General features: G+C 49.2%; 1 protein-coding gene across 5 annotated transcripts, besides 1 other annotated feature; it reads right to left on the bottom strand.

Annotated features, from left to right (window-relative positions):
• On the bottom strand, positions 870-20,224 carry NECAP2 (NECAP endocytosis associated 2). 5 transcript variants are annotated; one of them, NM_018090.5, is made up of 8 exons: positions 20,095-20,224; positions 17,216-17,316; positions 12,974-13,078; positions 12,807-12,888; positions 11,747-11,855; positions 8,933-9,110; positions 5,055-5,130; positions 870-2,106 (listed from the first exon to the last, which is right to left on the bottom strand). In NM_018090.5, exons 1-8 carry the CDS (start codon positions 20,184-20,186, stop codon positions 2,058-2,060), a joined length of 792 nt encoding a protein of 263 aa, NP_060560.1. In that variant the 5' UTR covers positions 20,187-20,224; the 3' UTR covers positions 870-2,057. The 5 variants fall into 5 exon arrangements, with proteins under 5 accessions (NP_060560.1, NP_001138750.1, NP_001138749.1 ...); NM_001145278.2 differs by having other exon boundaries at positions 20,173-20,224; NM_001145277.2 differs by lacking the exon at positions 5,055-5,130.
• Positions 9,071-9,150: an enhancer, noted in NCBI's record as "active region_265". NCBI's record gives its function as "activates an Ori minimal core promoter by ATAC-STARR-seq in GM12878 lymphoblastoid cells {active_cell/tissue: GM12878}" and the evidence as "EXISTENCE:reporter gene assay evidence [ECO:0000049][PMID:35858748]".

Genomic DNA, 22,472 nt, shown 5'->3' with positions numbered 1-22,472 from the left:
CTAATTTTTTTTTTTTTTTTTTTTTTTAAGAAATGGGGTCTAACAGCCGGGTGCCGTGGCTCACGCCTATAATCCCAGCACTTTGGGAGGCCAAGGCGGGCAGATAACTTGAGGTCAGGAGTTTGAGACCAGCCTGGCCAGCATGGTGAAACCCCATCTCTACTGAAAAAATACAAAAATTAGCTCGGTGTGGTAGGTGCCTGTAATCTCAGCTACTGGAAAGGTTGAGGTAGGAGAATCACTTTAACCTGGGAGGCGGAGGTTGTAGTGACCAAGATTGCTCCACTGCACTCCAGCCAGGGCAACAGACTGAGACTGTGTCTCAAAAAAAAGGAAAGAAATGCATCTTACTATGTTGCCCAGGCTGGTCCCAAACTCCCAGCCTCAAATGATCCTCCCGTCTTGGCCTCTCAAAGTGCTGGGATTACAGGCGTGAGCCACTGCACCCGGCCTCTTAATTTTACTTTTGACCTCTGGGTATCTGCACCCCTTTACTACTTAGGGAGATGCTCTGCCGGTAGGTTTGGTGGAAGACGGAAAGCAAGGGGCCAGGCTCTCTAGAACGGCCTGTATCATGAGACGCCACAAGAGAATTAAGCCCCACACAAAGTGATTCAAGCAACTACTTTCACATCAACCAAAGGATGATGAAAAGACTGTACTATCCTAGAGAACACAGGAGAGAAGGTACCGATTGCCTTAGACAACAAGGTTGCATTTCCTCACTTTGGCCAGCCTCACACCCCAGCCCTGAACTTTCAATCTGGACACTTGGTCAGTGGTGAGAGAAGTGGCCGTGAGTCTAGCTGTGGCACCCTGAAGAGTTTAACAGCCACGCGGCCAGAAACACATTCATCTTTCACATACAATGACAGAAGTAAAAATATTTATTTTATCTTAAAAATCTGGTCCCGCAAAAAGGCCAACACTTTTTTCAGTTCACGGTCTTGACCTTTCAAAGAAGAAATCTTTCAACTGAGAGGTGAGTTAATAAAAGGAATGTCAGAGGTGCTTTCAGATTTCTTATAAACCAGTAAACCAAGCAACCCTGGACTTCTAGTTTACTGAGCTCCTTCTTCTAGCCATTCACAGTTCCTGAAGGAGAAAAGAAGTTGTTTGCAGATAAGGCACTTTAGAAACCACCAAAGAGAAAACCCAAGTCTGCCAGGAGCTGCACTGTGAACATGTGAGCCGAGAGGGCCACCAGCAGACAGAGTGCCAACTCCCACAGCTCCATGACAACAGCATCCACCTTCCTGCCCCAACACTGTTCCGTCTGGCTTCCAGCACCCGCCTTGGCTCTGTGTTGCCTACCTGGCCTAGAATACATGGAAACCAGACAACTGGCCAGAGATAAACACTGCTGCCTGAAGCTCAGGGCAGCTGCCCACAGTGAGGAATCCCTTCAGAGGCCCCAGCTGGGGCACGCCGAGGGAGCAGTTCCTTTTGCAAAGATGAGTTAGTGCGGATCAGCACATTAGCAAAGCAAAATATTTAAACATTTTTAAAAGCTGCTAATCCTTCCAATTTCCCTCCTGATTGTAGCTCAAGCTGCAGCCTCTAAACCTGCTAAAAATCAGGAAGAAACCCCTCCTCTGGAGGGCAGATGGACTGAAGTGGCTACAGCCAGTGTGGGTACGGAAAGCCTCCCGCTGAACTGTGATCATGTGACACCTGCAGACCCTGGGAAGGGCTGATCTGAATCCTGGCAGCAAACTCAACCTCTTCTTTTGCTTGGGGGGCTTGTGTTTAATACAGGTCATTGCGATGGAAGAAGTCTCAGAGTCTCTCTCACATCAAGAGGACAGATGGGGACAGGGATCCTGGAGCTTTTCTTCTCCTGTGTTCTGGTTGCATACTTGAATCCCAGGAAACAGTGTGACACGGTGCCAATTTACTGCCAAACATGCCCGGTTTGTCAACAGAGCCAGACAAGGAGGAGAGGAGAGATTCATGCCCCAAACACAGGCCAGCTGAGGAGGGCTTCGTCCTCCTTCCTTTGGCCCAGATGAGGGAGCGCCTTCCCAGAAGTCACATGAGGAAAAACCGTGCTCAGGTCAGAACTGGACCCAGCCTGTGCCTGGCTGGGTCTGGCTGGAAGTTGATCTGTAAAGAGAAGACAGGGAAGGGTGGGGGAGTTCAGATCTTTGAAAATACAAAGCAGATAAAAGTTGGTTTCTCTCTGGACAGAAAAAGCTCTAAGAAGCCAGTTCCTAAATGTTCTAGAGCAGCAGTCAGCAAACTCTGGCACAGAGACCAAATCTGGCCCTCGATGGTTTTTTTTTTTTAAATAGTTAATGTAACTGTATTTACCAAAGTTTTTTGTTTGTGGTTTTGTTTTTTGTTTTGTTTTTTTTTTGAGACAGGGTCTCACTGTCGCCCAGGCTGGAATGCAGTGGCACACTCAAGGCCAACTATAGCCTCAACCTCTTGAGCTCAAGCGATCCTCCTACCTCAGCCTCCCTAGTAGCTGGAACTACATGACCGGTTAATTTTTGTATTTCTTTTAGTAGACACAGGGTTTTGCCATGTTGCCCAGGCTGGTCTCGAACTCCTGGCCTCAAGTGATCTGCCTGCTTTGGCCTCCCAAAGTGCTGGGATTACAGGCGTGAGCCAACATGCCTGGCCGAAGAGTCTTAACCCCTTTCCCATGTAGAAAAAATATAGCTCACTGCCAGCCCTCATTTAATTTTACATAAACATGCTCTTTGAGGCTGAAGCAAATCTGACTGATTTTCAACGTGAAAATAAAATATAAAAACTGTTCTTGGAGTTATTTCAGAATCATCTGAATAATCAGAACTATTTTGGAAAAATCAGACTCCTCAAATGAATCTTAGGCTAAAAACTGTTCAAGAACGATGTTAACATCACATGTAAGAATGCTGCGTTTTCTAGGATTTGACTTTTTCAGTAATCAATAATTACTATATTTTGGGCCAGGCATGGTAGTTCACGCCTGTAATCCCAGCACTCTGGGAGGCTGAGGTAGGCGGACTGCTGGATTCCAGGAGTTCCAGACCAGCCTGGGCAACATAGCAAAACCCCGCCTCTACTAAAAATACAAAAAATTAGCCGGGTGTGGTGGCAATTGCCTGTAGTCCCAGCTACTCAGGAGGCTAAGGGATAATCACCTGAGCCTGGAAGGTCAAGGATGCAGTGAGCCGACATCACGCCACTGCACTCCAGCCTAGGCAACCAGAGTGAAACCTTGTCTCAAAAAAAAAAAAAAAAAAAAAACAGAATTACTATATTTTGTAAATGGAAATACCACTATTAAAAACAGAATGCTATAAATAGAATGTCTTTTGTTCCAAAGCTGATATACTAGAGCGATGCAAAAATAATATAAAAGCAATACATTTTGTGGCAAAGTTATCTCAGGGTCAACGCTGCAGTCTGAAGTGCCACTGGCAAGTTTTCTCAGGGCAAACAGGAAAAGGGTTACAGTCCTCATTTCACGCCTCTGTTTTTTTTGTTTGTTTATTTGTTTTTTGAGATGGAGTCTTGCTCTTGTGACCCAGGCTGGACTAGAGTGGCATGATGTCAGCTGACTGCAATCTCCCGGGTTCAAGCAATTCTCGTGCCTCAGCCTCCCAAGTAGCTGGGATTACAGGCACCACCCCACCACGCCCAACTAATTTTTGTGTATTTAGTAGAGATGGGGTTTGACCATGTTGGCCAGGCTGGTCTTGAACTCCTGACCTCAGGTGATCCGCCTGCCTGGGAATCCCAAAGTGCTGGGATTACAGGCATGAGCCACCGCGCCCAGCCCATGCCTCTATTTTTGTAAATAAAATTTTACTGGCACACAGCCATGCTGATTTATTTACATATTGTCTGTGGCTGCTTTTGTGCAACAAGAGCAGAACTGAGTAGCTAGAACGAAGACCACACGGCCTGAATAGTCTAAACTATTTGCTATCTAGTCCTTTACAGAAAATGTGGCTGGGCACACTGGCTCGTGCCTATAATCCCAGCACTCTGGGAGGCCGAGGCAGGCAGATCGCTTGAGCCCAGGAGTTCAAGGCCAGCCTGCGCAACATGGCAAAACCCCGTATCTATGAAAAAATACAAAAAATAGCTGGCATGGTGATGTGCACCTGTAGAGCCAGCAACATGGGAGAATGTGGTTGCAGTAAGCCGTGATAGTGCCACTGCACTCCAGCCTGGGTGACAGAGAGAGACCCTGTCTCAAAACATGAAAAGAAAAAGAAAATGTGTGCTGACCCCTGTCCTAGAATCTGTCCATGTAAATAATAGTGCAGTAGGAATTTAGTATCTTTTCACCCTGGCCCCAAGTAAAGTCTTGAGATCTTATGGAATCAGAGAAGACAAGCCACCTAGCCTCAGGCGTTCTATGAGGATGGGCTGAGGCTGGAGCCTGGGTCTGAACTCTCAGTCCACTATTTTGGGGAAGGTGGGGGATGGGGTATAGAAGAAGGAGGTACTGGGGACAAGCCAAAGCACTTGGGAAGGCGGTTTAAAGGCCCAGATTTGCAAAGGGTTGCCCCAGGCTATATAGCACTGGAAAGCAGCAAAACCTCCACGGAAAGACGTGTGCCACCCAAAGCAGGCACGCTGGGGCTCTGTCCTCTGGCTAGCTTGAAAACATCCAAATCAGGCCAGGCGCGGTGGCTCATGCCTGTAATCCCAGTACTTTGGGAGGACGAGGCAGGTGGATCGCCTGAGGTCAGGAGTTCAAGACAACCCTGACGAACATGGTAAAACCCCATCTCTACTAAAAATATAAAAAATTAGCCAGGCGTGGTGGCAGGTGCCTGTAATCCCAGCTACTCAGGAGGCTGAGGCAGGAGAATAGCTTGAACCTGGGAGGCAGAGGTTGCAGCGAGCCAAGATCATGCCATTGCACTCCAGCCTGGGCAACAAGAGCAAAACTCCCTCTCAAAAAAAAAAAAAAAAGAAAAGAAAACATCCAAATTAAAACTGTTACTCCTAATCCTAACACCAGAAGGCAGGCATGTGGAACAATACCAGGTTTGTAGAGCAACGGCCCTGGCCCCAGCCCCTCCGCAGAACATGGCCCTCCTTACCCTGTAGATTTGGTAAAGTCTCCCCAGATGTCAGCAGTGGCAGGATTGGGCTGTGGCCAGGGTACAGGAGCACCTCCTATTGATGTTCCCGAGTCCGACCCGTAGGAAGAGAAGAGGGGACAGAGAAGTCAGAGACCTTTCTGGTTGTTTCAATGACCAAATCATGAGACTCAGTGATCAGTCTCATGACACCAGGTAGCTGGGAAAGCCACACCAGACATGCTTTTGGGCAACCAAACACCCTGAGTTGCCACACTTCCAGCATCTTCTCACCAGCCCTTGTGCGCTCTGGAGAAAACGCAGAAAGCCACATACAAGGTGGAACGAGGGGTGCCCGCGGGATGGGTGGTTAGTCTCACGTCATCTAACATGCATACCTGAAGCTGACTTTGTTATCAACCATTTATGTTGAAATCTATTTAAAATTTACTATAACCCGTCTTAGCTTCTTGAACGGAGAATGTCCACCAAAACCGCAAGATCATCTTCATATCAAGCCTGCACTACCATGTCTGGATGAACTGGCTGAGAACACTACGTGCCAGCCACGTGCCAAGTCCCAGGCCCCAAACTGGTTAGGGGTCAGGAAGAGCATTCCAAAGAGCTCACACAGAAGCTCAATCCTATCTCTCCACCAAGGTAGGCGACGCCATGGGGCTGCAATGCCTGCTTTTGTGCTTTTCAGGCACCTCCCCCAGTGCTGCCAACTGCCCTTCTGAAGGGCCTGTGTTTGCCACCCTCCACCTTGGCACTAAGTTGCTATTTCTAATCTGCTCTGGGCCAGGAGAACAGATAAAACTAGGGCCCTCAATGGTTTAGAGTTTTACAGTTCACCAAGTGCTCAAGGCACATTATCTTCTGTGAACCTCACCCCAGCCCCTAGGGAAAGACAGATTGGGATGAGCCACGTGACTGTGCAGGTCATTTCAGTTTCCATTCTCTTACCTCTAAAATGCTGAAAATAACAGGAACTACTCCATAGGACTGGTGTGAAGATTAAATATCCACAGAATGCTTAGAACAGGTCCAGCATATAGTGGCAATAACGATATTAATAAAATGAGATCTAACATTCAGTGAGCACTTAGAATGTTCCAAAAATTGTTCTAAGTGCTATACATAAATCAGCTTATTTGATCCTCACAAGAAACTTATATTTTAAGTATCATTACTTCCCCTATCCTACAGATGAGAAAAATGAGGCATGGAGAAGTGATTTTCTAAAGATCACAAAACTGGGCTGGGCACAGTGGCTCAGCCTGTAATCCCAGCACTTTGGGTGGCTGAAGCAGGTGGATCACCTGAGGTCAGGAGTTCGAGACCAGCCTGGCCAACGTGGTGAAACCTCTGTCTCTACTAAAATTACAAAAATTAGCCAGGTATGGTGGTGCATGCCTGTAATGCCAGCTACTTGGGAGGCTGAGGCAGGAGAATTGCTTGAACCCAGGAAGCGGAGGTTGCAGTAAGCTGAGATCATGCCACTGCACTCCAGCCTGGGCAACAGAGTGAGACTCCTTCTTAAAAATAAATAAGTAGGCGAGGTGCGGTGGCTCATGCCTGTAATCCCAGCACTTTGGGAGGTCAAGGCGGGAGGATCACCTGAGGTCAGGAGTTCAAGACCAGCCTGACCAACATGGAGAAACCCCGTCTCCACTAAAAATACAAAATTAGCCACGTGAGGTGGCGCATGCCTGTAATCCCAGCTACTTGGGAGGCTGAGGCAGGAGAGTCGCTTGAACCCAGGAAGCAGAGGTTGTGGTAAGCCGAGATTGCGCCATCACACTCCAGCCTGGGCAACAAGAGCAAAAAACTCCATCTCAAAAATAAAAAATAAAAATAAATAAATAAATATCACAAAGCTAGTAAGCTGAAATTTGAACCCAACCATATTGTTCATATAGTAAGTGCTTCATAAATGTTGATATTCATGACTTATTATCTGACACCATTTTGTTTGTTGACATGCTAACTGCCTGTCTCAGACACCAGAAAACAAGCCCTTGAGAGCTGAAACTGGATGCTATACGTACCAGTGCCTAGAACTCTACCTGGCACACAGCAAGTGCACCATATTAAAATTAAAATGCTGTTAAAAATGCATCAGCAAGGCCAGGCACGGTGGCTCATGCCTGTAATCCCAGCACTTTGGGAGGCTGAGGCGGGCAGATCACGAGGTCAGGAGATCGAGACCATCCTGGCCAACACAGTGAAACCCTGTCTCTACTAAAAATACAAAACTTAGCTGGGCGTGGTGGTGCGTGCCTGTAATCTCAGCTACTCAGGAGGCTGAAGCAGAAGAATCACTTGAACCCAGGAGGTGGAGGTTGCGGTGAGCCGAGAACATGCCACTGCTCTCCAGCCTGGGTGACAGAGCAAGACTCCATCTTAAATAAATAAATATCCATCAGCAACCTTGGTTGCTTAGGAAGGCCTAAGGTAGTAGCTCTCAGACTTTAGTCAACACACAAACAAGAACAAACATAAGGGCCGGGTGCAGTAGCTCACGCCTGTAGTCCTAGCACTTTGGGAGGCTGAGGCGGGCGGATCACCTGAGGTTGGGAGTTCAAGACCAGCCTGACCAACATGGAGAAACCCTGTCTCTACTAAAATTACAAAATTAGCTGGGTGTGGAGGCACATGCCTGTAATCCCAGCTACTCAGGAGGCTGAGGCAGGAGAATCACTTGAACCCAGGAGGCAGAGGTTGCAGTGAGCCGAGATCACACCATTACACTGCAGCCTAGGCAACAAGAGCAAAAAAACTCCATTTCAAAAAAAAAAAAAAGACACAAGAATGCAGATTCTTGCCCCCATCCCCCAGCGATGCCAAAGCAAGTGGTCCTATGACCCCACTCTGAGAAATAGCACTTAAAGAACAGTTCCTGGTACCGGGCCGGGGCTCTCTGACTGCCCCTCCTGCCACTCTCCCCACAGGACTGAAGTCTGAAGCTTGACCTCCAGATAGGGCAGCCAATGTTGGGGAGGCTTAGGAATCAGTAAAGCAGGAAGGCTTCCTGCCTGCAAGCTGGGGAGAGCTGTGTGCAGAAGGCACGCTGGTGACAATCGCCCAGCCTGGGGAAGGCCAGGAGCATCAAGCTGGGCTGGGCGGGGCGGCGGGCGGGGGGGGCGCGCGGGGAGGTAGAGGAAAAGGGCTGGCACCCCAGCGTGGTCAGAAGCTGACACTAGACACTCGCTTCCGGAATCCCAGGGTCTCCTAAGGGCTCCTCAGCACAAACTGCCAGGGCAAATGCTCTCAGATTCCCACACCCGAGGTGCTCACTCCAAACGAAATCTCATTTCCCACCACTCACCTTGGCACACCTTATGCTGTACCCATCTCCCTAAATACACCAGGTGTCTAAAAGTCTGGGCCTCATTCGTGTTCTTCTCTCTGCCTGGAATGCCAACCACTCCCACTCTATCTCCTTCCTTCAAGGTCCAGATCAATGTCACCTCTTTCATGAAACCTCTCCAGATCACAGCAGCTGATGGTGGGTCTAGGCCCTACACATTTGGTCTCTGTGCTGTGACTCATCTCTCTCACTACACGTGAGCAGAGACTGTGTCTCCATTACCCACTCACTCAATACCCACTGAGCAGACACTGGGAACCAGGAACCGACATGTTGATGATTTCACAGTAACTAACAAGTCGCAGCCCTGGCCTCTCAGGGGAGGGCAGACGCCCTAAAGGCCAAGTAGGAGGAGCCCCTTACCCAGCGTGTGCAGAATGAGCTTTGGGTGCCCGCCTTCTTTGACACGGACAGGTACTACATGACCAATCCATGTGTGTAACGGGGGGGAAACCATGGGGCCTGGCTGCCAGGGAGAAGAGGAGCCGGCAGGTACTGATGCAGCAGTCACCCACTGAGCACTAACCTGAACTGGGAGCAACTGCTGGCTGGACGAGGGATCCCCCCACAGCCAACTGCTCCCCAGGGGGAGGGATCAGGGTGGAGGTTTTCCCCCCTGGGGGAGGGGGAAGCAGGCTCAGCCCTCCTGTGCTGGCAGGCCGGACTCGGGGATTCCCAGCTGCTCCTTCCTTCTTCTTCATGTTCTAAAGAGGGAAGAGGAATGCAAATCAGCCCGTTCTGCTGGAGTCCCAATGCTACCAGAAAACCCCACAAGGAGGGCCAAGGTGACCCCAGACCCCCAACATCTGTGTAACCAAAAGATGGTCCTACCTAGCACCTCCATTGCTATGAGCTATACTTAGTGCATCATCATTCTGAATCTCTCACAAATAAGGTCCATTTTAAAACCCAGCACCCCCACTTCATTCATCAGGGAAATGCAGATCAAAGCTATAATGATATACCATTACACGCTCACCAGAATGGCTAAAATGTAGATTATCAAGTATTGACTACGATATGAAGTAACCATTCACGCGCTGCTGGCTTAAGTGTAAACTGGTAAAACTACTTTGAAAAATTATTTGAAAGGATTATAAAGCTCAACATAGGAACTTAAACTTATGACTCCGCAGTTCCACTCCTAGATATAAACCAACAGAAATCATACATATATGCACCAAAAACATGAACTCAAACATCTACAGCAGCATTATTTGTAATCGCCCCAAACTGGAAACTACCCAAATGTCCATCATCAGTAAAACATAAATAAATCGGGTGAATTCTCACAATGGTACATGCCACAACAATGAGAATGAACAAACTACACGCAACACCATGGATGACTCTCACAAAAATTACATTGAGTAAAAGAAAGAAATCATTCCAAATCAAGATTAGGTGTATGATTCAATTCATGAAAGTTAAGAACAAACAAAATCTAGGGTATGTGAAGTCAGGATGGGGTTACTCAGGGCAGTTACTGGGAGGGGCCAGGAGAGGTGTTTCCAGAGTGCTGACAATCTTTTGCATCTTGAGCAAGGTGCAAGTTTATAAATTGGGTGTTTTGTTTTGTTTTGTTTTTTGAGCCAGAGTTTCGCTCTTGTTGTCCAGGCTGGAGTGCAATGAATGGCTCGATCTCAGCTCACTGCAACCTCCACCTCCCAGGTTCAAGCCAATTCTCCTGCCTCAGCCCCCGGAGTAGCTGGGATTACAGCCATGGACCACCATGCCCGGCTAATTTTGTATTTTTAGTAGAGACAGGGTTTGTCCATGTTGGTCAGGCTGGTCTCGGACTCCCGACCTCAGGTGATCCGCCCACCTCAGCCTCCCAAAGTGCTGGGATTACAGGCGTGAGCCACCACTCCCAGCCTATAGATTAGATTTTTTAAATTTCACAGAGTTCTGCATTTATGATTTGTACACTTTTTTACATGCACATTATACTTCAAGAAAATGCTTTAAAAAAAAAACTGAGCACCAAGCATGAGCCAGAAAGCAGCACAAGTTACACAGATGAAGATAATGTGTTCCCTACTTGTAAGGAAAGCAGCAGCTTAATAAAATCGTAAGTCCAGCCCTGAAGTCAAAAGACCTCAAAGACCTCAGTGTGAGCACAGCTGTGCCAGTTATTTCTAGCTCTGTGACCCTGGGCAAGTCCCCAACCCTCCCTAAGCCTCCATTTCCTCATCTCATGGAGGAAAGGGAGAGGATGTTTAATTCACATGAGAAATGCCTAAAAAAAAAAAACAACAAAACAAAACAAAAAACAAAACAAAACAAAAAAAAACCACTACCTGGCCCTCAGCTGATGCTCATTAAATGTTAGTTTCCTCCAAGCGAGAGAAAGAATCACATCCCAACCAGTCCACTGGATTGGACTTGCATTTCTCTCTTAAGGGCCAGCTGGCCAACTTCAAGGATCCCAAATCATCACCAGCACGAAGCAGAAAAGAGGAGAAAGAGTAAGTAAAGAGGAAAAGCATTATTTTAGAGTTACAAAGCTTCTTGAAAAAACAAATCCATCTCAACACAGTATTCCTAGCAAAAACAAAAACCAATCCACTTGGTCCTTGGGTCCCCGCAATCATGACTCTGACCTCATCTCCCCTCTCCACCCTTGCAGCCAGGTAAAGGCCAACTTTAGGCAACCCAGCCCAGCCCAGCCCAGCCCAACCTGTTCCTATGAACAGGAGCTGACGGGAGGGAAGCCAGAGGCAGAGCAGCTCAGAACGAAGACACAGGAGCCAGGACAACACCATCAGCACAAGCTGCCCAGGACTCCCAGCGCCCACCTCAACGCCCTCCTGCCAGAACTCTCCCAAATCTTCCTTATTCAAGACACAGCCTGGGATGAGCACACAGGTCCCTCCTGATGCACTCTAATAGCTAGGACAGAAACACCACCTCTGGCAGCAAATGACTGATGCTCCTTCTCAGTTCAGAGGCTTTGCACCTGCTGTTCCTCTGTGTGAACCACTCTTTGATCACTCTTCCCTTGCCTACAGGTCCCTTCTTCCAGGAAGCCTTCCTTGGTTCCCACAACTATGGGCTGCACACCCTTCCTCTAGGAGCCCACGGCACCCAGGGCATCCCTTAGTCATGGAACCTTTCCTGCCATGTTGTTATCACATTTTTACCTGCCTGTCTCAGCTCAACTCTGAGCTCCATGAGAACAGAGGTCTCTTGTTCACCCCGATGCAGGACCTGGCACAAGGCAGATGCTCACTAAACATCTGCTGAACTGAAGGAGCTGAACTGTAAGAAGAGCAATGGGCTCTGGGGCTGGGTGGCCACAAGTATCACGTCACCACAGCCAAGCAAGGGTAGAACTCACTGCGATGTTGAGCTTGATGGTCTGGCCCTCCTTGAAGCCCAGGTCCAGTTTAGGGCCTTGGTCTGGGTTCTGGGCTTGTTTTGCAAATTCACACTGCTGTTTCACCCACCTGGGGAGAGAACATGAGGAAAAAGGTGAGGAAGGAAGAGACCAGCTGCCCTGCAATCACTGGCTCACTTCACTACTGCCTGCTATCAGTCCAGGCTGAGCCTCGTAGTGAGACGGGGTGCTGGAAAGAGTGCAGGCTTGGGAGTGAGGCCTGAATTCAAATCCCAATCTGACACTTAAGTAGCGGCATGCACATTGGTTTCCTCATCAGCAAAATATGCCCACAATTCTATAGGTTTTCAAGATGGCTACGAATGCAGCGAGATCACTTACGTAGAGGGTCCTAACACTATCTCTAGGACACGTGAGAGCCTGCCCTTCCCTCTACAGTATATGACATGAGAACTAAGATGCGGTCTCTACACACCCTCAAACACTCAGAAGGCAGACGGGGGGACAAGACAGATACCCAAAAGTAGAGGGCAACACAAAAGTCCCCCACCCTCCATACCACACCACCCAGCAGCACCGGTAAGGGAAGAGCCAGAGGCGCCCATGTGAGTGGCCGGGCACAGCCCACTCACTGGCAGCCTGAGTTCGAGCCCTGCAGATGGTGGAGGAGGACTTCCTGCCCTGTCTCTTAGCTTCAGAAAAGGACATCAGGGCATCTGCTGGGTGCCCTGGGAATCCAAGCGCCATTGATTACATGGAGGAGCAGGCCCAGAAAGGCCACAGGAGCCTGATGAGGACTCTGGCTGCTCAGGGGACTGGTAAGGGGAGACAGGTGGCAGGCCCGAAGGCTGGGATGGTAGAGATGAGCCTCAGGTAAAAGAGAAGGCTTTACAGCAGAGATGAACATTGGCAGAGAAGAGAGGTGGCTTGTCCTGGGTTCTCCTGAGTCTCTGCTGCCAGACAAATCACACACAAACACTTGGGTATCCTAACCTGGGAGATCATTCTGTCCAGGGAAAGAAGGGAGGGGCATGAGCGTGTGTCTCCCAGACCCACTCACTTGAAATGGTCCTGCAATGCAACATTGAAGTCAAAGGCATCACCTCGGTCCCCGAAGCCAATTCCAATAAACGCCCGTCGCCCTGGGGAACAACACATGATCAACCCACCTTCCAAAGGCAGAGAAAACCTTTCCCAAGAGGAGGAAGCACCAGGACCCATGCCTACCATTTCCATCTTCGATGCGGATCACGAAGTACCTGCTGGAATCCGTCACACTCTCCACAGCTGTGCCAGGAAACTGATCCACCGGGGCCTGAGCAAAGAGCTCCCCTGAAAGCACAGGTTAGGCTGAGCGCTGAGCCCTGAGCCCCCTTCCAGCCAAGGTTTTCTACCACACTACTGGGCCTTTTGCCCGCAAGGCATCTCTAACCAGCTGAGACAGATCGGCAAACCTTACTGTGGGATTCAAATCGAATCCATTCTTGCTAAAGGGAAGACACAGAAAATATAATCAAGGAAAGGCTTAAGTCAGAGAGCTTACAGGTCAAATTTAGCTCACAGTTTGGTATTCTGCCTGGCCTCTCTTAAAATTAAGCTTTATTAATGCTGAGCCTCCAAGCCCACCTGAGAATAAGTTGGAGCTGCTAGCCCATCCATTCCATCTGCTTTACCCACTTATATTACCTGAACCCTGAGTGTCCTAGAACAGGTGAACCCTGGCCTAGGTAATCACACCTGCTGAAGAGGCTAGTACCTGAGGCAGGACTATAAGAGGGGCCAGTGAGCCCCGAGGAAAGAAGGGAGGAAGTTTTCATACCCATAGGGAATCTGAAGCAGGCTGATTTAATTCAATCTGAGACAGGGCAAGCGTGACTAGCTTTAAAAGCCCTTGTGAAACACATCACCTTGTCAACTACAGCACTCGACAGTGCGGCACAACATAAAATTTCCACAAGCATTTATGACTGGCATCAGTTTTTCCCATGTGCTGACGTCTGTTGTTGCTTTTAGTATTTTTTGTTTTGTTTTTTAGAAACAGGGTCATGGAGTGGGTATGGTCCCAGCACTTTGGGAGGCTGAAGTGGGGTGCGTTGCTTGAGCCCAGGAATTTGATTTATACCTTTTTTTTTTTTTTTTCCTGAGATGGAGTCTCCCTCTGTCACCCAGGCTGGAGTGCAGCGGCGCAATCTCGGCTCACTGCAACCTCCGCCTCCCAGGTTCAAGTGATTCTCCTGCCTCAGCCTCCCAAGTAGCTGGGATTACAGGCATGCACCACCACGCCCCACTAATTTTTGTATTTTTAGTAGAGACAGTGTTTCACCATGTTGGCCAGGCTGGTCTTGAATGCCTGACCTCAGGTGATCTGCCTGCCTCAGCCTCCCAAAGTGCTGGGATTACAGGCGTGAGCCACTGCACCCAGCCCAGCCCAGGAATTTGAGACTAGCATGAGCAAGATGGTGAAACCTGGTCTCTACAAAAAATCCAAAAATAAGCCAGGCATGGTGGCATGCACATTTAGTTCCAGCTCCCTGGGAGGCTGAGGCAGGAGGATCCCTGACCCCAGGAGTTGGAGGCTGCAGTGAGCTGAGATTGTGCCACTCCACTCCAGCCAACATGACAAGAAAAAAAAAAAAGAAAGAAACAGGGTCATGCTCTGTTGCCCAGATTGAAGTGCAGTGTGCAGTGCACCATAGCTCACTGCAGCCTCGAACTCCTGGGCTCAAGTAATCTTCCCGCTTCAGCCTCTCACGTAGCTGGGAATACAGGCACATGCCACCATGCCCACTCAATTTTTGTTAGAGATAGGGTCTTGATATGTTGCCCAGGCTGGTCTCTAACTCCTGGTCTTAAGTGATCCTCCCACCTTGGCCTCCCAAAGCCCTGGGATTATAAGCGTGAGTCACCACACCTGGCTGGTGCTTTAAGTATTTAACCATATATCTTCTACTGAATCCTGTGGTTTAGAGATAACTTTGTTTTTTGTTTTTTCCAAGACGGAGTTTCACTCTTGTTGCCCAGGCTGAAGTGCAACGGCACGATCTCGGCTCACTGCGACCTCCACCTCCCAGGTTCAAGCGATTCTCCTGCCTCAACCTCCCGAATAGCCGGGTTTACAGGCATGCACCACCACGCCCGGCTAATTTTGTATTTTTAGTAGAGGCAAGGTTTCTCCGTGTTGGTCAGGCTGGTCTCAAACTCCCGACCTCAGGTGATCTGCCTGCACTGGCCTCCCAAAGTGCTGGGATTACAGGCGGTGAGCCACCGTGCCCGGCCTTTTTTTTGTTTTCTTTTCTTTTTGAGACAGTCTTGCTCTGTCACCCAGGCTGGAGTGCAGTGGCGCAATCTCGGCTCACTGCAATCTCTACCTCCTCGGTTCAAGTGATTCTTGTGCCTCAGCCTCCCAAGTAGCTGGGATCACAGGTGTGCACCACCACGCCTGGCTAATTTTTGTATTTTTATTAGAGACAGGGTTTTGCCATATTGCCCAGGCTGCTCTGGAATTCCTGGGCTCAAGCGATCCACCTGTCTTGGCCTCCTAAAGTGCTAGGATTACAGGCATGAGCTACCATGCCCAGGCAAGAGGTAATTTTGTAATCAAGGCTGAACTGATTCAAAACCAACAGCCCTAGAGTCTGTGGTTTCTTGTCAATTTATCTGCCTTGTGTTCCAACCTCACCAAGATTCCTTCAGCCTACAGCAGTAGTTCTCAATCAGGGGTGATTTTGCTCCCCTGTCCCCAAGAGGACATCTGGCAATGTCTAGAGATAATTTTGATTGTCACAACTTGGGGGGTGCTACTGGCATCTGCTAGACATAGGCCAAGAATGCTGTGAAATGTCCTCACTGGGCTCCACAGCTCTCCAAAACAAAGACTCATCTGGCCCCAGGTGTCAACAGTGCTGAAGCTGAGAAAGCCTGGCCTAGAGTGATATGCTCATTACCTCATGGGAAAGTAAGAGTCTAACATGACCCAGGCATGACCTTGAGCTAAGAGCACCTTGGGGTGGGTCCCACAGGGGAGGCTCAGCCCTAGGCAGTGCCTGTTACGTTAGGGAGTCATGTTAAAGTCACAGCTGGCTGGGCACAGTGGCTCACACCTGTAATCCCAACACTTTGGGAGGCCGAGGTGGGCGGATCACGAGGTCAGGAGTTCAAGAACAGCCTGGCCAATATGGTGAAACCCCGTCTCTACTAAAAGTACAAAAAAAATTAGCTGGGCGTGGTGGGGGGGCGCCTGTAATCCCAGCTACCCGAGAGGCTGAGGCAGAGAATTGCTTGAACCTGTGAGGCAGAGGTTGTGGTGAGCTGAGATCGTGCCACTGCACTCCAGCCTGGGTGACAGAGCAAGACTCCATCTAAAAACAAATGATTTTTTAAAATAAAGTCGCAGTTACCAAATTCCTCAGAGAACGAGGTGTTACCATTCTCTTATGACACTACCTGGGGTGTCCCAGCAATTCTCCAGCTTAAAGTCTCTGGTCTGGCCATGGCAGCTGCCTCTCCAAACTCCTCTGCCGCCAGTACCCAAGTTCCCGAAGAACACATCAATGCTTTGGGTTGCCTCGCAGTCCGTAAAGCATTACAGAAATATCTGCTCACTTCCTATTCTCCAACAATCTTATGAAGGAGGAACTAATATGATCCCCATTTCAACAAGGAGGAGGCCAAGGCCCCAGAGGTCATGTGGCTCACCCCACATCCAGCAGCTCAGGCAGAACATAGTTCTGAGAAGAGGCAGCCAGTTCTCTCTCTAAACTTTTGCACTTTCTCTTCTGCTCTACAAAGGAAAATCTCTACATATTAGAAAAAATAAATGACCGAATGTTGTGGCACCTGACTGAGCAGACACTGTGTCCGACCCCACTAGGGGTCTCGGCTGGGGGATTCCAGGTGCACTGCCCTCCACAGCTCACCCAGAGGCACAGGTGGCCCAGGACTTGTGAAGTTTCCCCCAAGACGATCTCTGCCAGCTGACCCCAACACAACCCAGCTCAGCTCGTCCTCTCACTACAGAAAGAGCTGAGTAGGACAGTTTCCAGCTTCTTCGGTTAATGGGTGTGGTCAGCTCTGGGAGTTACCGCTGCATTGATAAACAATTCCTCAGTAGGAAGCAGAGCCCAGCGGCAGAGGGCTGTGCATCCTCACCCGCCTGTCTTCAAGGCCACTTCCAGGGCTTCCTACTTCCTACCAGGACCAAGCTGCGGTCTCCTCTCCTTGGCCCCCACATTTTCCTGAGGACTCCTAAAAGGAACTAGTGTTTGACATGAAATACTCATTTTTACACCTGGAGACGGTACTTTCTACAACTAAGGTGGGGGAATGGTACAGCTTAAAGGTACACACACGTCTCTGATTTTTCAGGACAGGTTCCCATGACCCCTGAGCAGCCTGGCCAGACCAGGCCACCTCTCCCTTCATAAAGTGGGGTGCGGCCCCTCAGCTTGATGCAGCCTCCCTTCCGGTTACCTGACGTCCTGTCCTCCAGCTTGATGTAGGCCATCTGTCCCTTTGCAGTGATCCTCAGCCGGCCACTCCATGATGGCTGGTCCAGCTGCCACTCCGCAGCCCTAAGGGGACAAACACCACTGAATCTCTGCCAGAGGCTCCTGCTGTGTGACCCCAATGCTGGGAATGGAAAGGGCTGCTTATTCTAGCCCAAGAGTTGGCAAACATTTTCTGTAAAGAGTCAGACAGTAAATATCTTTGGCTCTACAGGCCACACAGCCTGTCACAACAAGGCAGCTCGGCTGCTGTAGGGTAAAATCAGTATAGAACATGCACGTGGTGATGCTTTAGGTATCTTAACTATTTTCTACTGAGCACAGCTGTATTTCAATCAAAGTGTAGACACTGAAATCTGAAATTCATGTAATGTTCCCAGTATGAAATACTCTCCTTTAAAAATTTTCCAAACCATTTAAAAAATGTAAAAACTATTCTTAGGTGTGAACCATACAAAAACACACTGGGTTGTCACTTGGTGACCCCCTCTCTAGACCACAGTGTCCTCCTCCACGTAGGACTTCCTTCCAGTTTCCTTTCTATAGAAGCAGCAGCTGCAGGGGCCTGATTCTGTTTCTGACACTGCTTGACTGCAGCAGTCAGAGCGACCATTTGAGACCAGTGAGACTATCTTGAAAGAAAAAGACAGCATGGAACAATCACCAGAAGAGAAAAGGAGAACAACAGTACATGTGAGAAAAGTGAATGGGTCCTTAGGAAGAAACCCAGGAAACCATGAACCTACAGCAATGCCTCTTTTGGCTCTAATTTGTTTGAGACGGGGTCTCACTCTGTCACCCGGGCTGAAGTGCAGTGGCGCAACTACGGCTCACTGAAGCCTCAACCTCCTGAGCTCAAGAGATCCTCCCACCTCAGCCTCCTGAGTAGCTGGGACTACAGGTGTGTACCAACACACCAGGCCAATTAAAAAAAATTATAGAGATAGGGTCTATGTTGCCCAGGCTGGTCCTGAAGTCTTGGGCTCAAGGGATCCTTCCACCGAGGCTTCCCAAAGTGTTGGGATTACAGGCGTGAGCCACCACAGCCAGCTGTTTTGACTCTTTTAAAGCATTAACTTCACATTTTAGTTCTAAGAAAAGGTCAGTTAAATCCCCAAATAGCAAGAACCGCAGGTGTTTCCAGGAGGCTTTTCTTAGAAGTCCCTATGCCAGTTCTCAAGAACCCTGGACGCGGCTGTCTTGAGGGCTGCACAAATGCAGATTCTCAATTCACAAATCAGCAGACTCAGTTCCTGTTCCTCTTACCAGGCCTGAGATTCAGGCTAAGGAGAGCTCCAAGACTTAAGTGCAGGCACTGGTAGTTTCCTCTAAGCTAAACCAGCCAGCCCTGACAATTCATAACCTCGCTCTCTGGGGCACCAAGAGGAACCAAATCCATCCTACTAAAGACCCAATAGGGGGCCGGGCGCGGTGGATCCTGCCTGTAATCCCAGCACTTTGGGAGGCCGAGGCGAGTGGACCACCTGAGGTAGGGAGTTCGAGACCAGCCTGACCAACATGGAGAAATCTCATCTCTACTAAAAACACAAAATTAGTCGGGTGTGGTGGTGTATGGCTGTAATCCCAGCTACTCGGGAGGCTGAGGCAGGAGAATCGCTTGAATCCGGGAGGCGGAGGTTGCAGTGAGCCGAGATCGCACCATTGCACTCTAGCCTGGACAACAAGAGGGAAACTCTGTCTCAAAAAAAAAAAAAAAAGACCCAACAGGAGATGGGGCTAGACGACCATCAATGGTTTGATGGTCCAACCACAGTTTGATGACAGAAAACAAATGTATTTTGGTTATTGTTGTTTTTGTTTTTATACTATTTTAAAATATGTCATGAATGTAATGTTCACTAACGCATCTTTTCACCATAAGATCAGCTATGAGCCCACGGTAACACAACTGGAAAGTAACAAGAGGAAATGTGGACGTTCCATCATTCTTGGGGTGCAGACCAATCCTGTATTTCCGAAAAACTTGGACAACCATCGCCTTCAAGAGCCACCCAGGCCCCCGCAAATACGAGCACTCCCCACCACCACTCAGTGGCACAAAATAGCCATAGGCCAGGTTGTCTGTATGAAGTGTATCTTTTTTCTTTTAATATTTTTCGTCGTTTTGATAGATAACGCATACAAAGAGTAGTAAAACGCAAACAGCACAAAAGGGAAAGGAAGTTTCCTTCCAAGGGCGGTTCCCCTCCCCTAGGGCAGTTTCCTGTGTTCCTTTGCAGAGATACTCAGTATGTTTACAAGCGTGTGTGTTTATTCGTCTCAGGTAGAGACCAGAGAAATATAGAAGGGGTCCTCCCAACTGCTCCAGGCTGTGATCAAGGGTGAAATTCGTGCGAAGGGATCTGGGTAGGAAGGGGTCCCTGGGCTTCGACCGTCACCTTAAAGCTCCCCGGGACCGGTCCTTTCAGCCGGCTCTGGGCTCCCTCCCCTCCTCTCGGGGATTTCCGTCTGTGATAGGGCACCTCCCCGCTTAAGGCTTTTCGAGGATCCCTTCAAGGCCACCGGTTAGCGCTGAAAGAGAAGCGTCTGTGACATCACCACCCCCGACCAAGTTTAGGGTACCCGGCAGCCCACCGGGGTCCCTAAGCGCTAGATACGGCTTTAACGCCCTCCCCGCCGCCAGGAGTCCCGTGCGTCGAACTGAGACGGGCGAAACTCTGGATCCACCTCCCTGCTCGGGCCTGGAACTGGAAGAAGCAGCAGCATTAGCTCCCCCTCGCCCCAAAACTGGCCAGGGCTGTCCTCGGTTCCCGCAGTGGGTGTGTCCGGGTGGCGGAGAAAGGGTTAAATTGGAGCTAGCCTGGTCTGGCGGTGGGTAGTCACCTGTAGCCACGGTTGGTAGCCCGCGGAGGGATGCGGTAGACGTGGACGTCAGGCTTGACACAGAGCACCGACTCGTACCCGCTCTCCTCCATCGCGACGCCTGGAGCCCACCGAACTTCCGGCGACTTCCACCGTTCCTCTGTCCGACGGACGGAAGCGGTGCGACTCTCTGACCAGGTTTCGGCTAGAGCGGCAGCTCGCGGGCCTCAGCACCGCCTCGTTTGTGCGCCCTCTGCTGGAAACCCGGCTCAAGACACGTGGCGGGCGACCTCCGGAGGCTTCTCCCTCCCTCCAGAGGCTTCTCCTTCCCTCCAGACACCCTCCGACGCAAAGAAAGCGCCCTGCGCCCGCCATGGACAGACCCCTCTGTAACCCGTGGTCTGGGTGTGGATCATCCCCATCGCTTCAGTTTCTTAGGCCTGGGGCCCAGTTGACCGAGAGGCAAAGCTGTAGCCCACCCTGCAGTATCTCTGTCCTCCAGCCTTTGCCTCGGCGCCTCCTCTGCCTGAATATCCTTCCCTCTCCTGACTGTAAGGCTCAGCTGGCACCTGACCCACCAGACTAAATAGATGCCATTACCCTACCACCCTCCATGCTTCCCCTAGGGGAACCCACTTATATGCTCAGGGCCCCGTGTGGCCAAACCTCAACAACGAGTTGTATTCAAAGAAGTAAAGTTTAGTAACACAAGTAATTTAAGAAGAATTCCAGGCCGGGCTTGGTAGCTCACGCCTGTAATCCCAGCACTTTGGGAGGCTGAGGCGGGCGGATCACCTGAGGTCAGGAGTTCGAGACCAGCCTGGCCAACATGGTGAAACCCCGTCTCTACTAAAAATACAAAAATTAGCCGGGCTTGGTGGCGTGTGTCTGTAGTCCTAGCTAGTTGGGAGACTGAGGCACTAGAATCGCTTGAACCCGGAATGCGGAAGTTGCAGTGAGCTGAAATTGTGCCACTGCACCTCAGCCTGGGTGACAGAGCGGGACTCTGTCTCAAAAAAAAAAAAAAAGAAGAAGAAGAATTCCAGTCTTAACTTCGATTTCTCCCAGAATATTCTGGGAGATACAATGTCTACCCTAGCCAAATTCTCAAAATCCCTCCTTCCCTACCATTCTCTCATTGAGTTGAGTGCCTGCAATGTGCCAGCCCCTATGTGGGGGTGAAGCTGATCCCAAACTTCTGATTCACTGAATACCCCAAACTTTCCCCACCCCTTCTTTCCTTTTCTCTCTCACTCTCCTTCTCCTTTTTACTTTTTTTTTTTTTTTTCTTCAGACAAAGTCTCACTCTGCCGCCCAGGCTGGAGTGCAGTGGTGCAATCTCGGCTCACTGCAACCTCCACCTCCCGGGTTCAAGCGATTCTCCTGCCTCAGCCTCCCGAGTAGCTGGGATTACAGGCACCCACCACCAAGCCTGGCTAGTTTTTGTATTTTTTTGGTAGAGACGGGGGTTTCATCTGGTTGGCCAAGCTGATCTTGAACTCCTGACCTCAAGTGATCCGCCCACTTCGGCCTCCCAAGTGCTGGGATTACAGGCGTGAGCCACCACGACTGGCCATTTCTACTCATTTTTTATAAGCTTTTTATTATAGGATTGATCTAACCACTTACATTTTTATTGTAAAATATACATAACATAAAATTTACCATTTTAAGTGTACAATGCTGTGAAATTAAGTACATTCACAATATTGTGCAACTATATCATGCTTTCCAGAACTTTTCATCATCCCAAACAGAAACTCCACACCCATTAGCAATAACTTCCCATTTCCTTCTGCTCCATCCCTTAGTAACCTCTGTTTTACTTTCTGTCTCTATGAATTTGCCTTTTCTAGATACCTCTTATAAGTGGAATCATACAATATTGGGCTTTTGTGTTTCTTATTTCACTTAGCATCAAGTTTTCAAGGTTCTTTCATGTAGCATGGATCAGAATTTCATTCCTTTTAATGGAGGGATAATATTCCATTGCATGTATATACCATATTTTGTTTATCCATTCATCTGTCAACAATTGGGATGTTATCACCTTTTGGTATTGGGAATCGGGCTACTATGAGCATTGGTGTTCAAACACTTGTTCTAGTCCTGTTTTCCATTTTCTTGAGTGTATACATAGGAGTGAAACTGCTGAGTTATACAATAATGCTATGTTTAGTGGTTTTGTTTTGTTTTGTTTTGTTTGAAACAGCATCTCACTCTGTTGCCCAGGCTGGAAAGCACTGGCATGATCATGGCTCACTGCAGCCTCAACCTCCCAGGCTCAAGTGATCCTCCCAACTCAGCCTCCCAAGTAGCTGGGACTACAGGTGTGAACCACCATGTCCGGCCTTGCTCACCTTTTTGAGGAGCCTCCAAACTGTCTTCCACAGCAGCAG

This window comes from Homo sapiens, chromosome 1 (assembly GCF_000001405.40).
Source record: "Homo sapiens chromosome 1, GRCh38.p14 Primary Assembly".
NCBI lineage: Eukaryota > Metazoa > Chordata > Mammalia > Primates > Hominidae > Homo > Homo sapiens.
This window is presented reverse-complemented; position numbering and strand designations above follow the sequence as displayed.

Coding starts and splice junctions, on each gene's coding strand:
- NECAP2 (NM_001145277.2), bottom strand. CDS start 20,186: ATGGAGGAGAGCGGGTACGAGTCGGTGCTCTGTGTCAAGCCTGACGTC. Junction 13,079..17,215: donor GCTGGAGGACAGGACGTCAG/GTAACCGGAAGG, acceptor CTGTGCTTTCAG/GGGAGCTCTTTGCTCAGGCC. Junction 12,889..12,973: donor CCGCATCGAAGATGGAAATG/GTAGGCATGGGT, acceptor GTTGTTCCCCAG/GGCGACGGGCGTTTATTGGA.